Source organism: Homo sapiens, chromosome 16, assembly GCF_000001405.40.
Source record: "Homo sapiens chromosome 16, GRCh38.p14 Primary Assembly".
NCBI classification, from domain to species: domain Eukaryota; kingdom Metazoa; phylum Chordata; class Mammalia; order Primates; family Hominidae; genus Homo; species Homo sapiens.
Window position 1 is genome coordinate 11,371,934 of NC_000016.10, and position 16,359 is coordinate 11,388,292.

The 16,359-nt window shown below is 49.0% G+C and overlaps 1 protein-coding gene, 1 long non-coding RNA gene and 1 pseudogene across 11 annotated transcripts in view, besides 5 other annotated features; 1 reads left to right on the top strand and 2 right to left on the bottom strand.

Moving 5' to 3' along the window:
- Positions 1-16,359, top strand: part of LOC105371082 (uncharacterized) — a 146,190-nt gene that overhangs the window by 122,333 nt on the left and 7,498 nt on the right. For 3 of the 7 annotated variants that reach the window (XR_933070.4, XR_933073.3, XR_933072.3), the window contains 2 exons: positions 7,889-7,954; positions 8,865-11,592. This is a non-coding gene — a long non-coding RNA (uncharacterized LOC105371082). Of the gene's footprint in view, positions 1-7,275; positions 7,955-8,864; positions 11,593-16,359 lie in introns of those variants that run through there. The other 4 variants (XR_933075.3, XR_933074.3, XR_933071.3 and 1 more) reach the window with 3 other exon arrangements.
- LOC400499 (putative uncharacterized protein) overlaps positions 82-16,359 on the bottom strand; it is a 155,563-nt gene continuing 139,285 nt past the window's right edge. For 2 of the 4 annotated variants that reach the window (NM_001395505.1, NM_001370704.1), the window contains 7 exons: positions 15,178-15,362; positions 13,278-13,483; positions 12,955-13,132; positions 12,283-12,392; positions 11,953-12,075; positions 11,709-11,850; positions 82-805 (listed from right to left, as the gene is read on the bottom strand). In NM_001395505.1, coding sequence (NP_001382434.1) covers positions 801-805; positions 11,709-11,850; positions 11,953-12,075; positions 12,283-12,392; positions 12,955-13,132; positions 13,278-13,483; positions 15,178-15,362 — 949 coding nt within the window. In that variant the 3' untranslated portion in view covers positions 82-800. Of the gene's footprint in view, positions 806-10,503; positions 10,596-11,708; positions 11,851-11,952; positions 12,076-12,282; positions 12,393-12,954; positions 13,133-13,277; positions 13,484-15,177; positions 15,363-16,359 lie in introns of those variants that run through there. The other 2 variants (XM_017023946.1, XM_047434105.1) reach the window with 2 other exon arrangements.
- Positions 7,440-7,759: an enhancer, noted in NCBI's record as "active region_10441". NCBI's record gives its function as "activates an Ori minimal core promoter by ATAC-STARR-seq in GM12878 lymphoblastoid cells {active_cell/tissue: GM12878}" and the evidence as "EXISTENCE:reporter gene assay evidence [ECO:0000049][PMID:35858748]".
- Positions 8,926-9,428, bottom strand: LOC100420951 (mitochondrial ribosomal protein L18 pseudogene; annotated as a pseudogene).
- Positions 14,929-15,238: an enhancer, noted in NCBI's record as "active region_10442". NCBI's record gives its function as "activates an Ori minimal core promoter by ATAC-STARR-seq in GM12878 lymphoblastoid cells {active_cell/tissue: GM12878}" and the evidence as "EXISTENCE:reporter gene assay evidence [ECO:0000049][PMID:35858748]".
- Positions 14,929-15,896: a biological region, named in NCBI's record as "H3K4me1 hESC enhancer GRCh37_chr16:11480804-11481686".
- Positions 15,014-15,896: an enhancer, noted in NCBI's record as "H3K4me1 hESC enhancer chr16:11480804-11481686 (GRCh37/hg19 assembly coordinates)". NCBI's record gives its function as "activates a minimal SCP1, AML or CMV promoter by ChIP-STARR-seq in naive H9 embryonic stem cells {active_cell/tissue: H9 hESC(naive)}" and the evidence as "EXISTENCE:reporter gene assay evidence [ECO:0000049][PMID:30033119]".
- Positions 15,429-15,518: an enhancer, noted in NCBI's record as "active region_10443". NCBI's record gives its function as "activates an Ori minimal core promoter by ATAC-STARR-seq in GM12878 lymphoblastoid cells {active_cell/tissue: GM12878}" and the evidence as "EXISTENCE:reporter gene assay evidence [ECO:0000049][PMID:35858748]".

The window sequence follows — 16,359 nt, forward strand, 5'->3', positions numbered from 1 at the left end:
TCGGTGAGCAGATTCCATAGCTGCCCACGCCTCCCCCTCTCTTGAGTGGATGATCAACCCCAGCAATCTAGAGACATGTTCTTGGATTCTGCCAGCTTTATTTTTCAGTTGAAAACTCAAAGGAAAAAGTTACATTCCCAAAAGAAAGTAAAACACTTCCAATGATGTAGCCTGGAGGCCTGAGTTCACAGGTGCCCCTACCAAAACAGAGGCCCTCCCCAGGGTCCCCTGAAGCATTCAGTCCCAGTGTGTCTACCCCAAAGAGAGAAGCTGCCTACCTGGGCTTCTGATTAAGAGGCTTGGGGCCATCACTTCCCTTCAAGGAAACTCCTGCCTGAAAAGACCCCTGGATCAGGCAGGGAAAGCCAGTACCAAGCAGCTGAGGACCTGGCTTCGTGTCCCCCACCACGCAGTCAGCGTTCTGAAGCAGTGGCTTCCCAAATGGCTGTTGAATAAGTGAATAAATCTCTTGGGCATGAACAGGGGCCAGGTGGAGTTTTCTCTGCAGAGCTGGTACTTGCTGGCCGCACTGTCTCCTGGTTTGCAGTGGAAGTGTGGAGGAAGGGGGAGAATTACTCAGACCAGTGGGAGAGTTTCATGTCCCCCGGAAGTATTTTGAGCCCAGTGGCAATGAGCCCTGCTTCCGTGCGTTTGCAGCACGTGCGGTTCTGAGTTTCCCGGCATTCCATGCTGGTTATTCTGTCCCAGCCATGAATCTTGTCATTGTCAGGGAGCTGGAATTGCAGTAGAAGGTGAAGGAGTTTGAAGTCTGGCAGCCTAGTGCTGGCATAGACAAAATCTCAAACTGTAAAGGAGAGAGAAAAGTAAGACCAGGCTATGGGCCCCTGAGGAGAGGGGCCCCTGCTGTTTCCTGAAATAAATTATGCTAGGGCCCCTGGCCTTCATTATTAAAAGGACAACTCCCCATCCACTCCCACTCATCTCCCTCCCGCCTTTTTGTAAGAGCAGCGGGCATGGGTCAATGAGTCCCCTACAGCTGCAGGGCCTTTGCAGGCAGCGGTGCTAGGCCCAGCCTGCTGAGTTCCTTGGAAATTGAACAAGCATCTGTGGAGTGCTCACTCTGTGTCAGGTTCTGCTGCCAGCACCCTCGACACAGAGAAGACCAAGACATAGTTCCTAGCCAAGGGGAGGGCGGAACCTTAGCACACGATGCTTTGAGAGCTCAGGATGCATCCAACCCAAAGTGTGGGCTAAAGGGAGCTCACTGTGTGGGTGAGATCTTCAGTACAGCATGCAGTGGAGGCCATGATGTGGGGCTCCTGGCCCTAGAGGGACTGCTCTGCTGTTTCACCATCAAGTGGGGTGGACAAGGGCACAGATGGACACTCAGAGCTACCAGGCAAAGGAAGTGCCCTTCTATCCCTCATCTGCTACGAGAACTGTTTAAAAGATGGGTTTTAACTTTTCTGAGATGGAGTCTCGCGCTATCACCCAGGCTGGAGTACAGTGGCTCACGGCAACCTCTGCCTCCTGGGTTCAAGCGATTCTCCTGCGTCAGCCTCCTGAGTAGCTGGGATTACATGCGCCTGCCACCACGCCCGGCTAATTTTTATATTTTTAGTAGAGACGGGGTTGGGCCAGGCTGGTCTCGAACTTTTGACCTCAAGTGATCCACCTGCCTTGGCCTCCCAAAGTGCTGGGGTTACAGGAGCAAGCCACCATGCCCAGCTATTTATATTTTTTGAGATGGAGTCTTGCTCTGTCGCCCAGGCTGGAGTGCAGTGGTGCGACCTCAGTTCACTGCAACCTCTACCTCCCGGGTTCAAGTGATTCTCTTGCCTCAGCCTCCCAAGTAGCTGGGATTACAGGTACATGCCACTATGCCCGGCTAATTTTTATATTTTTAGTAGAGACAGGGCTTCACCATGTTGGTCATGCTGGTCTCAAACTCCTGACCTCAGGTGATCTGCCCGCCTCGGCCTCCCAAAGTGCTGGCATTACAGGCATGAGTGACCTTGCCTGGCCGGGAAGCACCCTTCTAGCCCTCATCTGGTAAGAGAAGTGTTGAAAATATGGGGTTTAGGTGGCCTTTTCTGCCATCTCTTTCTACTACATTCTGGTTCTTTTTCAGATATATAATTTTCAGTCATTAGTAAATTAGCTGATTTGCTAAATTAATTACTAAACTACAAATTTAGTAATTAGTAATTTTAATAATTTCTAGTTCCCTGCTGAAATCTATAATCTGTGTCTAATAAGCCTACTATCTGAGTCCTGTGGGTCTGTGTCTATTGCCTGTCTGTGCTAGCTTTTACTCTTAGAATTTTATCTCCTTAAGAGTGTTTGGTTTTATAACTATGGTGTTCATAGGTAAAATGTTTATCATCGTATCACCATGCCTAGCACAGAGATGCTCAATATACATTTCTAGTGTAAAAAATTTTAAATGTAGTTAAACACAAGTAACATTTACCATAACCATTTTAAAGTACACAATTCAGTGTAAGTACATGCACACTTTTGTGCAACCAATCTCTGGAACTCAGTAAATACTGCCAAACTGAAACTTTATCCCCATTAAATAACCCATTACTGCTCTCTCCCAGCTCCCGGCAGCCACCACTGTACTTTCTGTCTCTATGAAACTTATTACTCGAGGTCCTTCAAATAAGTGGACTCATACAGTACTTGTGTTTTTGTGACTGGCTTATTTCACTTTGTATAATGTCCTCAAGGGTCATCCATGTGGTAGCGTGTGTCAGAATTTCCTTCGTTTTTAAGGCTGAATCATGATTGATTGTATGGAGAGACCACATTTATCTGTCAGTGGACACTTGGGTTGCTGCTGTCTTCTGGCCGTTGTGAATAATGCTGCTATGAACATCGGTGTATAAATGTGTGAGACCCTTTGAATTTTAGGGGATCCATACCCAGAAGTAGAATTGCTGGATTGTATGGTAACTCTTTGTTTTGAGACAGAGTCTGGCTCTGTCACCCAGGCTGGAATGCGGTGGTGCGATCTTAGCTCACTGCAACCTCCGCCTCCCGGGTTCAAGTGATCCTCATGCCTCAGCCTCCCAAATAGCTGGGATTACAGGCCTGCACCACCACACCCAGCTAATTTTTGTACTGTAGTAGAGATGGGGTTTCACCATGTTGGCCAGGCTGGTCTTGAACTCCTGGCCTCAAGTGATTCGCCCACCCCAGCTTCCCATAGTGCTGGGATTACAGGTGTGAGCCACTGCACCTGACCTATTAACTCTTTGATGAATTGCCATATTGTCTTCCATAGCTGCAGCACCATTTTATACTCCCCGTAAGAATACACAAGGGTTCAAACAACTCAATGTCCTAACACTTGTTATTTTCTGTATTAATTACAGCCATCCTAATGGGTCTGAAGTGGCACCTCCATGTACTTTTTTTTTTTTTTTTTGGAGACAGAGTCTTGCTCTGTCACCGAGGCTGGAGTGCAGTGGCGGGACCTCAGCTCACTGCAACCTCTGCCTCCCGTGTTCAAGCAATTCTCCTGCCTCAGCCTCTTGAGCAGCTGGGACTACAGGCATACACCACCACTCCTGGCTAATTTTTTATTTTTAGTAGAGACGTGGTGTCACCATGTTGGCCAGGCTGGTCTCGAACTCCTGACCTCAAGTGATCCGCCCACCTTGGCTTCCCAAAGTGCTGGGATTACAGGCGTGAGCCACTGTGCCTGGCCTCTCCATGTGGTTTTGGTTTGAGTTCCCCTAATAATTAGTGATGTTGAGCATCTTTTTATGTGCTTATTGGCCATTTGCATATCTTATTTGGAGAAATGTCTATTCAAGTCCTTTGTACATTTTTTTTTTTTTTTGAGATGGAGTTCGCTCTTGTTGCCCAGGCTGGAGTGCAATGGTGCAATCTCGGCTCACCGCAACCTCTGCCTCCCAGGTTCAAGCAATTCTCCTGCCTCAGCCTCCCAAGTAGCTGGGATTACACGCATGCACCACCATGCCCAGCTAATTTTGTATTTTTAGTAGAGACGGGGTGAGAAACCCCATGGAGAACATGTTGAGGCTGGTCTCGAACGCCTGACCTCAGGTGATCCACCTGCCTCGGGCTCCCAAAGTGCTGGAATCACAGGTGTGAGCCACCGCGCCGGGCCCTTTGTACATTGTTGAACCGGGTTGGGTTTTTGTTGTTACATTGTGAGAGTGCTTTATGTATTCTAGATGGGAACTCCTTATCAGATATAATTTGCACATCTTTACTCCCATTCTGTAGGACGCCTTTTCACTCTGTTAATAGTATCCTTCAATGCGATCCAGTTTGTCTGTTTCTCCTTTTGTTGCTTGTGCCTTTGGTGTCATATGCGCCATATCTAAGAAATCATTGACAAAGGAAGCTCTCCTACTGTGTTTTAAGAGTTGTATAGTTTTAGCTCTTACAGTTAGGTCTTTAATCCATTATTGAGGTTTTCTTTTTTTTTTTTCCCAACATGTTATAAGGTAAGAGGTTAACTTCATTCTTTTGCATGTGGATATCTAGTTTTCCCAACACCATTTGTTGAAAGACTGTCCTTTCCCCAATTCAATAGTCTTGGCATCCTTATTGAAATCATTTGACCACATGTGTAAGAGTTTCTTTCTAGACTCTGTATTTCATTCCACTGGTCTGTATGTATGTCTTTACGCCAGTACCACACTTTTGACCACTGTAGCTTTCAACAAATTTTGAAATTGGGAAGTATAAGACGTCCAAATTTGTTCTTTGTTTTCAAGATTGTTTTGGCCATTTGGAGTCCCTTGAAATTGTGTATCAACTTTAGGATGGATTTTTCTATAAGTGAAGAAAAAATGCCACTGGGATTTTGATAGCAATTACGCTAAACCTGTAGATCACTTTGAGTAGTATTGACATCTTAATGATATTCTTACAATCCATAAATATGAGATGCCTTTACATTTGTTGTATAACCGGTCTCTGGGACTCTACATCCTGCCAAAATCTTTGCCTCCTGGTTAAGTTTATTCCTATTTTATTCTTTTTGATGCTATTGTAAATGGACTTTTTTTTTTTTTTTAAAGATGATGTCTCACTGTGTTGCCCAGGCTGGAGTACAGTGGCTATTCACAGGCATAATCATCGTCAAAACTGACAGCCTTGACCTCTGAGGCTCAAGTGATCCTCCTGCCTCAGCCTCCCAAGTAGCTGAGACTATAGGCGTGCACAACCATGCCCGGCAGGAATTGTTTTCTTAATTTCCTTCTTGGATTCTTGACTGTTAGCATGTAGAAATGCAACTGACTTTTGTATGTTGATTTTGTAATCCTGAAACTTTGACAAATTATTAGTTCTAACAGTTGTTTTTTATTTCATGCAGTGTTCAGGATTTTCGACAAAGATGATCATGTCATCTGTTAACAGATAATTTTACTGCCTCCGTTCCAATTTGGATGCCTTTTCTTTCTTAATAGCTCTAGCTAGGATTTCCAGCATTATGAAAGCAGGCATCATTGTTTAATTCCTCATCTTGGAAAACTTTGTCTTCATCATTGAGTGTGATGTTAGCTGAGGGTGGTTCATATGACCTTTATTATGTTGAGGTCATTTCTATTTTGAGTCTGTATGTTTTTAATCACGAAAGGGTATTAAACTTTGTTAAATGCTTTTTCTTCACTAACTGAAATAGTCATGTGTTTTCTTTCGTTCATTCTGTTAATGTGATATCTTACATTGATTTTTATATGGTAACCATCTTTGCATTCCAGGAATAAATCTCACTTGATCATGGTGTGTAATCCTTTTTATGATGCTGTCAAATTCTCCTTATTAGTATTTTGTTGAGAACTTTTGCATCTGTATTTATCAGGAACATTGGTCTATTTTCCTCTGGTGCTTTGTCTGCCTTTGGTATCAGTAATGCTGGCCTCACAGAGTGAGTTTGGAGGTATTCTTTCCTCAATGTTTTGGAAGAATATGAGCAGGATTGGTATTGATTCTTCAAATGTTTGGTGATTCACCAGTGAAGGCATCTGATCTTCTGCTTTTCTTTCCTGCCAAGTTTTTGGTCTCTGATTCAATCTCCTTGGTAGTTACAGGTCTGTTTTTTCCATCTTCTATTTCATTTATTTCTGCTCTAAACTTTATTATTTCATTCCTTCTCCTATCTTTGGGTTTAGGCTGTTCTTTTTCTAATAACTTAAGGTAGAAGGTTAGGTTGTTGGTTTGAGAGCTTTTCCTTTTTCTTTGAGAGACTTGCCACGTTGCCCAAGCTAGTCTCAAACTCCTGGGCTCAAGCAGTCTCCTGGCCTCGGCCTTCCAAGTAGCTAGGATTATAGAACAGTGTCACTGTGCCTGGCTGCTGCTTTTTTTTTCTTTTTTTTTTTTTTTGCCGGGGGGAGGGGGGAGGTGGAGTCTAGCTGTGTCGCCCAGGCTGGAGTGCAGTGGCACAATCTCAGCTTACTGCAACCTCTGCCTCCCGGGTTCAAGTGATTCTCCTGCCTCAGCCTCCCAAGTAACTGGGATTACAGGCGCCTGCCACCACGCCTGGCTAAATTTTATAATTTTAGTAGAGCTGGGGTTTTGCCATGTTTGCCAAGCTGGGCTCAAACTCCTGACCTCAGATGATTTGCCCACCTCGGCCTCCCAAAGTGCTGGGATTACAGGTGGAGCCACTGCACCCAGCCAGCTTCTTTTTTAATTTAAGTGTGTACAGCTACAAATTTCCCTCATAGCACTGCTTTTGCTGCATCCCATAAGATTTCATATGTTTGGTCTCAAGATACTTTCTGATTTTTCCTTATTTTCTTTCTTTGATCCACTGGTTTTGTAGTATGTTGTTTAGTTCCCACATATTTGTGGATATTTCAGTTTTCCTTCTAGTATGATTTCAGTCATTTCAAATGTATTAAATCTTGCTTTGAAGCCTAACATACAATCTTTCCTGGAGAACATTCCACGTGTACTTTTGAAGAATGTGTATTCTGCTGTTGGGTGAAGTTGTCTGTGTGGTAGGTCCAACTGGTCTATAGTATTGTTCAAGTACTTTGTTTCCTTCTTGATCTTCTGTCTGGGTGTTGTATCCATTATTGAAAGTGAGGTATTGGGCCGGGTGCAGTGGCTCAGGCCTGTAACCCCAGCACTTTAGGAGGCCAAGATGGGTGGATCACCTGAGGTCAGGAGTTCAAGAGCAGCCTGGACAACATGGTGAAACCCTGTCTCTACTGAAAATAGCTGGTCGTGGTGGCATACGCCTGTAATCCCAGCTACTCTGAGGCCTAAGAATCACTTGAACCCAGGAGGTGGAGGTTGCAGTGAGCCGTTATCATGCCACTGCACTCCAGCCTGGGCAACAGAGTGAGATTCCATCTCAAAAAAATAAAAAAAGTGAGGTGAAGTCTCCTACCATTATCGTAGACCTATCTGTTTCTCCTTTCATTCTACAGTGTTTGCTTAATATATTTAGGAGCTCTGAGGTGTGTTGCATGTACATTTATAACTGTTACATCTTTTTGGTGAATTGACTGTTATCATTATCTCTTATAACAGCTTTTGACCTTAGGTCGATTTTGTCTGATATTAGTATAGCTACTCCTTCTCTATCTTATTTCATCCTTTCACTTTCAACCTGTGTAAGTCTCTCAGTCTTCTGATGGTGGAATTCATTTGTATTTTTAAAGATTATCATTCTGATGCAACTGACTAACCTGGTGACTGTGTCATGAGGCCCACAGCCAAGGACTGCGGTGACCAGTTGCTGTGGGGAGACTCCAGCACATTACTGACGGGACTTCCCGATGGGGAAGGACTTCCTGGTGCCACGCTGTTGATTGTTTTCTGCATGGCTTATGGTTTGCTTTCTCTGTCATTTCGTCCCTTTGTGTTTAATTGATGTTTTTATTGTGACACACTTAGGATCTCATTTGCTTTTGTGTACGTTCTGTAGATATGTTGTCATTACCATGGGGATTACACGAAACATCCTGAAGTTAGAGCAATCCATTTTAAACTGGTAAGTTCAATCACATACAAATACCCCACTCTTTGACAGCTCTGTCCCCCTCCTATGTTGTTGATATCACAAAGTATATCTATTTTTAGAGACAGGGTCTCACTCTGTCACCCAGGCTGGAGTGCAGTGGCATTATCACAGCTCAATGTAACCTCAAGCCCCTGGACTCAAGTGATCCTTCGGAGTAGCTGAGACTACAAGTGCATGCCACCACCATGCCTACTTTTTTTCACAAATTATATGTTTAACGTAGATGTATAGTTATACATCTTTTAAATCCAATAAAATAATTACAGAGATGAATGAAAATTACAATACAGGTCTTTATATGTGGCCTCAAACTTCCACCTAGCATCTTTTTTTTTTTTTGACTTGAAGGACTCCCTTTAGCATTTCTTGCATAATGAACTCTCTCAGCTTTTGTTTATCTGAGAATGTCTTAATTTCTCTGGCCGGACACAAGGCGGGCAGATCACGAAGTCAGGAGTTCGAGACCAGCCTGGCTAACATGGTGAAACCTCGTCTCTACTAAAAATACAAAAATTCGCCGGGGGTGGTGGCGCATGCCTGTAATCCCAGCTACTCGGGAGGCTGCACCACTGCACTCCAGCCTGAAGGACAGAGCAGAGACCCTGTCTCAAAAAAAAATAAGAATAATAAGTGTCTTAATTTCCTATGAGAATTCATAATATGCCTTTATTTTGTAACTTATAACCACCTTTTAATTTGTCCTTCAAAAGTTAATTATAACGGGTGACTGCTTTTCTTAGATACTTGTCTGGTGTCCAAGAGGGGAATAACTTAGCCCTTGATTTAAAAAAATAAACCCTAAGGGAGGGAGAGGACCTTAACTGCAGATACCATTCCATTGTGACACTGTGGCTGTAAGTCTTCTCTGTTGTCCTCCCAGATGTTTTGTTGATGGCTGACGTAGCGGACTCAAAACAACGAGCACTTCTGCTTGATACACAGATTCTCCGAGGTTCCTGTGGAGCCACAGCACCTCCTGTCTTGGCACTTCATAGTTGTCTCATCGAGTCCAAGGCTGCCTCCCAAGGGTCTGGCTGGTAGACCATGAAGTTGATTCCTGCCTTAAGCCTGGCTCTGCAAGAAGTTGTCCTATATTCTCACCAGTCACATTTTTGGTACTAGAACGGTGCTTTTTATAGTGCACTCGTAACTGGACGCTGAAATCACAGCCTGGCCATTTGGATGTTCAACCGATGCTTTATGCTGCTGAGTCCTTGGAACTCACTCCCCGTGCCGGAACTCACTGGAGCTCAGGTGTGTGGCACTACCTTGTTTCTCTGCAGCTGGTATTGCAAACATTTTTCATGCATTTATTTCCCATTGTTTACTTTTGAGTTTTTGTTTTGTGAGACAGGGTCTCAGTCTGTCACGCAGGCAGGAGTGTGATCATGGCTCACTGCAGCCTTGACCTCCTGGGTTCAAGCAATCTCGCCTCAGCCTCCCAAAGTGCTGGGAGTACAAGTGTGAGCCACCACACCTGCCCTACTTTTGAGCTTTGAGTTCTTTATATATTCTAGAGATGAGTCTCTAGAGATGAGTCCTCGGTCTGATAGATGGTTTGTAAACATTTTTCCCAATCTGTAGCTTATCTTTCCATCTTCTTAATAGAGTCTTTCAGACAGCAAAAATAAGATCTCTCTTGCAAATACTCTGCCTCTGTAGCAGGAAAGCAGCCATAGACTACGTAAATGAACGTCGGTGGATCCCTTGAGTAAGTGTCATTCATGGTAAAGATATCTCTAGACAGATCAGTGCTGAGAGGCTTTTTCATTCTTAAATAATAGTTGAGCTGGGTACACACACTAACCTCATGCTTATTTTCTCTTACTCCACTGTCTTCTGCTGTTGCTGGTGGGAGATCAGTTATCAACATGTTCTTCCTTCTTTCCACCCTCTTCCTTAGCTTTTAGGACCTTTTCTTTGTTTTTTCTGCAGTTTAGTTCTGATGGGTCTTGGTATGGATGGATTTATTGTATTGGGGATCATGCCTGCTGACTCTAAAGGGTCCTGTGTCTGTTTTCATTCTGGAATTTTTTTTTTTTTGAGACGGAGTCTTGCTCTGTTGTTCAGGCTGGAGTGCAGTGGCGCAATCTCGGCTCACTGCAACCTCCTGGGTTCAAGCGATTCTCCTGCCTCAGCCTTCATAGTTGCTGGGATTACAGGAGCCCGCCACCACACCCGGCTAATTTTTGTATTTGTGGTAGAGACAGGGGTTTCGCCATGTTGGCCAGGCTGGTCTCAAACTCCTGACCTCAGGTGATCTGCCCATCTTGGCCTCCCAAAGTGCTGGGATTACAGGCATAAGCCACCACACCCGGCATTTCTTTTAGACATGTTGGATCCTCTTATTTCATCCTCCCTTTGTCATATTTTCCAATTCATTAATTTTCTCTTCTGCTGTTAAGGTTTTAAATGTCTGAATGGCAGCCACTAATTCTGGCATCTGAAGCTCTTGGAAGCCTACTCCTGTTGTTGCCACTGACTTCTATGCCCATTTAGTGGGGCTTTGGCTGTGGGAATCATACGCAGCACTGGATGACGGAGCTCTCACCACATGGGATCTGATGCTGTCTCCAGGTAGCTGGTGTTAGAACTGAATTAGAGGGACAGCCTGGTAGTGGGAACAACACACATTTGGTCACAGAAGTCATCTGCTGTGTTGATGATTATTGTGGTGTGAGAGCAGAGAGAAAACAGGGCTGAGTATTTTCCCTAAACAGTGGTGTACATTCAAATCCCTGATGAGGCTGGGCGTGGTGGCTCCCGCCTGTCATTTCAGCACTTTGGGAGGCTGAGGCAGGAGAACTGCTTGAACCCAGGAGGTGGAAGTTGCAGTGAGCCGAGATTGTGCCACTGCACTCCAGCCTGGGTGACAGAGTGAGACTGTCCCAAAAAAGAAAAAACCTAATGGCAAATTTTCAAGAGGCAACTTAATGTGGCTCTGTGGACACTTAGCTTAGTAGGGGGTAGGGAATCCATTTACAGTGATATAAAGGAGCACCTGAGGCTGGGTAGTTCATAAATGAGATAATTGGCTCACAGTTTTACAGGCTGTACAAGCACGCCTCCAGCATTTGCTTGGCTTCTGGGAGGCCTCAGGAAGCTTACAATCATGGCAGGAGGAGAGAGTACAAAGAGAGGAGGTGCCAGGGTCTTTTTTTTTTTTGAGACGGAGTCTCACTCTGTTGCCCAGGCTAGAGTGCAGTGGTGCAGTCTCAGCTCACTGCAAGCTCTGCCTCCTGGGTTCACGCCATTCTCCTGCCTCAGCCTCCTGAGTAGCTGGGACTACAGGCGCCCGCAACCATGCCCGGCTAATTTTTTTTGTATTTTTAGTAGAGACGGGGTTTCACCGTGTTAGCCAGGATGGTCTCGATCTCCTGACCTCGTGATGCACCCACCTCAGCCTCCCAAAGTGCTGGGATTACAGGCGTGAGCCACCGTGCCCAGCCTTGCCAGCTTCTTTTTAAACAACCTGCTCTCATGTGAACTAATAGAGCAAGAACTCACTCTTCACCAAACGGAGGGCACTAGGCCATCCATGAGGCATGTACCTGCCTCGAGGGGACACACATCCAAACAGGCAGTCTTAATAAATGTTGTGACTCTTAGCTCCTTGAATGACAATTATTTGTCCTCCCTGGTGAGAGAAAGGGACTGGTTTTCCCTCTGGCCTGGAAGGCAGATGCCAGACGGGGCAGAGTGCTAGATGGCTGGGGCAGCTTACCACACTGTGGAGGAGGGGCCAGGGGTACGAATCCACGGGCACACAGGTGGATGTAGGCGGCCGCCAGGTTGCAGGCAGGCTGGAGCTCCTGGGTGCCACAGGGGACCTGCACACACAGGCTGAGGAATGGTGTAGGGTCTACCTGAAATCAGGGACACCGAGTCACTGTCCACACCCTGAGGAGGGACCTAAGCTTGATGAGACAAAGGGCCTTCTGCACCCCATGGGCCAGGCTCACACTCACCACCCGGAAGCAGTCCCTCAAGCTGGAGTGGGGGCCCTCGAAGAAGGCCCAGCAGGCGGGGAGCTGTCCCGGGCAGGCCTGCTCCTGCTGAGGCTTCTCAGTGGCCCTGCAGTCACCACCCACCTGGCAGGATGGATGCAAGACTCAGGCCTCCTGCTGGACCATGTGGCTCCCCCGCGTACACTGGCCTCAGCAGGAGACTTCCCCCAAACCCTGGGCCTACGAAGTCCTCTGCAGAGCCATCAGGCCGCCTGCCTCTCCCGGGACTCTGCAGTGAGCAGCCCTCAAGAACCTCAGCTGGAAGCAGGACAGGCAGGTGCACCCGCTCACCTGCCAGGCCAGGCTGAGCTCCTCCAGGCTGCGGGCCATAGAGCCATCCGGCAACATCAGCTCATTGCCTGCTTCATTGTCATTGGTGCCCAGAAGGCCAGCGGATATGCCTGTGGGGAAGAGGGAAGCGGAGGCCGGCCGTAAGACCCTGTGATCCTCCCCCAGCCCCAGCCCTGCTGCCTCAGGACCTGTGTGTGAGATGAGCCTGAAGCACACAGAGGAGCAGTAGAGTCCCACCACCTCCACCCCGGACTCCTGGAGCCCAGGCCCTGGCTGTAAACCCTCATCAGAGGAGGAAGAGAAAGCACAGGGGCTCAGGGACAGCATGTGTATCCCCCGTCCCCTCCCCATGTCCTCAGCTCAAGTGGCTGGAATCCAGGCCCTTCCTTTGTGTTCCTTGGCAGAGGGACGACAGAAGGGCCAACTCCACACTGGAGCCGCGTGTCCCACGGATGGGACAGAAAGCCCTGGGCCTCTGTGCGGTCATCTGGACATGGGGTCAATGGCATGAGGCTAGATGAGGAGTTGAGGGCACACGCGCTGCCATGCTAGAGACGAGGCCGGCAGAGGCTCTGCATGCACGGTAGCCCCCTGCCGCCCTGGAAGCTTAAAGGGGTGCATCCCAAAGAGTCCGCTGTAGGTGGGGCCAACCCTCCTGGGGCCCAGACCCACCGTGCTGCCAGAGGCCCAGAGTCAGGCTGCAGAGGCCGGTGGGCACGTCACAGGAGACAGACACCCCGTCCTCGCTGGCCAGCTCAATCCTGGAGACGTCCTTCCTTGTCGTGGCAGGATGCAGCTTGAGGTCCGGACAACTGTCCCCCGGCAGGGAGGAGTTGTACAGCCTGTAGGCCTGTGGGCCAGAGGGGGCTGGGCAGGAGGTCTGACCCACAGCCAGGTGACAAGCTTGAAAGTGCCATCCCCCCAGGCGACCTGCCATGGGCACAGGTCTCCAGGGGAGGCTCAGTCCTACAGGCTGCCATGCCTCTCCTGCTCACCTGCAGACTGGGGTAGAGGATGAGGGTCTTGTGGTTAAGTTCCACGAACAGGGCTGTGAGCCCCGAGCCTGTCCGACTCAGCGTCAGCGAGAATGTGTTGTGAGCAAAGTCCTGGGCCAGGAGGATGCTGCCGCACTGGGTGCTGAGGTCCCATACCCGGCCGTCGAAGGTCACCACGTGCTGGGCCCCAGCCACCAGGGCATGGTCTGGGTAGAAGCAGCCCAAAGGCAGGGTGAGCGGGGCCAGCTCCACCCACCGCAGTAGGAGCCCAATGCCTGCTGGGTGCCCCGGATGCCTAGAGCTTTGGCTTAGCCTGCCCTGAGGCCTGGATTCCCCCTCCCCTGGCGCAGCAGCCAGAGGCCCAGGGATCCCCCACCGGCTTCAAGATGACATGAGCTGAAGGTCTACTGGCAATTCAGCCCTAACAAGGAAAGGAGTCCTGAGACCTGCTACAAAAATACTGTGCTAAGTAAAAAAGCCTGGCTCAAATGCCACAGGGTCTATGCTTCTGTTTACATAAAATGTCCAGAGCAGGCACAGCCATGGACAGAAGGCAGATTGGTGGCTGCAGGGTTTCAGTTTGGGGTGATGAAAATGTTTTAAAATCGACTGTGGTGATGCAGGCACAACTCTGAATAAATTAGAAGCCACTGAATCGTACACTTAAAATTCACACATCGGCCAGGCACGGCGGCGCTAAAAGCCATCCCAGCACTTTGGGGGACTGAGGCAGGAGGATCACTTGAGCCCAGAAGGTCAAAGCTATGGTGAGCTGAGATGGCGCCACTGCACTCCAGCCAGGACAACAGAGTGAGACCTAGTCTCAAAAAAAAATGTCACACATACAAGTCATCCATTTAATCTCAATGAAGCTGCTGGCGGGGATGGGGGGAAACATTCACTATGTAAGTGGATAGCCAACAGGTCCCTCAAACACAAGACTGGTGTCCTGCAGACCTACCCTCTTCAGGGTAGGGAACAGATGGCCTGAGAAGGAGGTCTGACCAGTCTAGCCAGTGCGGCCCCTGAGCTGTGGCTTGGGGGTGGGGGTGCCCTTGCCCGTGGCCAGGAAGCACCATCTATGGTGCACAGCCAGGCACCTGTCGGCCAGTCCCAGCATCCTGAGGGAGGCAGTACCAGCCCCGTGGGCAGCTGTCAGAACTGAGAGGCACAGAGAAGCCCACGGTCACACACATGGAACTTGAAGACCAGGCTGTTTTCTACAACACCAATGTGCTGCTTAGACATGACTGCGCCCACGCTTCTAGGGAGCCCTGGGCCTGGGTGTGAGTCCCACACACATAAAGCACTCCTTGCCAAGCCTGGGTACCGGGGTTCCCCCATAGACATGAGGGGCTCCCCCTGCATCAAGAACAGTACATGCCCATTACCCATATGAGCGAGCCACGTTGTTACCTACATTTCACGGTGGAGCAAATAGAGTCCCACAGGTTAGACTCACCTGGCCACACAGCATTTCATGGTGGAGGAAACCGAGTCCCACAGAGGTTAGACTTGACTTGCCTGGCCACACAGCAAGCCTGAGCCACAAGCAAGCTCCCCAGCCCTTGGCTACAGGTCGCCTCTGACCGGCGAGTCTGAAGTCAGTCAGTTCTCTTCCAGCTGGATCTGGAGGGCTGCCGTCTTCTCCAGCAGTGCCCGCAGGGAGGGAGCTGGCCTGAAGCCCTAAACCACCCTCCTCACCCCTCTGCAGGGCCAAGACTTATATTCTGGACAAAAGCAGGATGTGTACCCTCAGCCCTAGTCCCATAGGACCTTGGGAAGTCCAGTAAGCTCTGGGCCTGGCACTGTGATGCTACTAGCCTATGGAGGCTTCCCTGTGCCCAGGAGGCAGGGGGCTCTCAGGGAGGAGGGCGGCACAGCCCGGGGCAGGACTCACATTCCCAGGGGCCCGCCAGCAGGCGGCGTCTGAGCCAGTAGTACTCAGCCAGCACGTTGGCCCCAGACAGCTCTCGGAGCGGCCGCAGCAGCTTCTCCTCCATGAGGTAGCTGGTCACCCGGGCCACGTCCAGGGGCTCGTCCCCCGCAGGCAACAGTGGCAGCATCACCACCACTGAGCGGTTCCTGCAGGGAATGCAGAGGACAAGTCACTGTGCCTGCCCGAGCCTTGCTTCCCTTGGCTGCAGAGGGGAGCTTCTAGGTCTGCAGGAAGAGCTCTGCAGTGGAGAGCATGAGGGTGCCTTTCAGGGAGGGGCTGTCCTTGTTTTGGGAAATCCCATCATGAGGTGGAGGAGGACAGAGGCCGGCATGACAACGGAGGTGGTAGATGATGGCTGGGGACAGAAACAAGCTGCCCCATTTTGAGGACACAGATGTCCGATGTCATGCCTACTCTGCTCCCCGGGTCTTGGGCAGCATGGGCTTATGTGTGGGGATGCCGAGGACAGGAGCTGGAAGGTCTAGGAAATTTTGTTTTTTAAGAATCTCATTCTGTCGCCCAGGCTGGAGTGTAGTGGCACAATCTCAACTCACTGCAACCTCTGCCTCCCGGGTTTGTTTCTCCTGCCTCAGCCTCCCAAGTAGCTGGGACTACCAGCGCCCACCGCAACACCCGGCTAATTTTTGTATTTTTAGTAGAGTTGGAGTTTCACCACATTGGCCAGGCTAGTCTCAAACTCCTGACTTCAACTGATCTGCCCACCTCGGCCTCCCAAAGTGCTGGGATTACAGGTGTGAGCCACTGTGCCTGGCCAACAGGTCTAGAAAATTTCTACAGTTTAGGGGAGGACTGGAACTTTCTCAGGATCTAGAGTAGGAGTCAAGCCTGTGAGATTTGAATGATCAGGGGGATGTCAGCTCACATGGGGGTATAGTGGGAAGACAAACATCTCATACCCTGTTGTTGATGGGCCAGTAGAGAGGGAGCAGGGGCAGGTGGCCTCACTTGCTTACTTCTAGGAACCCAGAGGCCCTGCAGCTGGAGGCAGGAAGCAGCCTCAACTCCCTCTCTGCCACCTGAATCCATGTTTTGGCACCCCCACCTAGCAGTGACAGGATCCCACTCACCAGGTAGGTGAGTAACCAGGCAGGTCATTCTTCAGCCAAGCCAAACCCCGCCCTG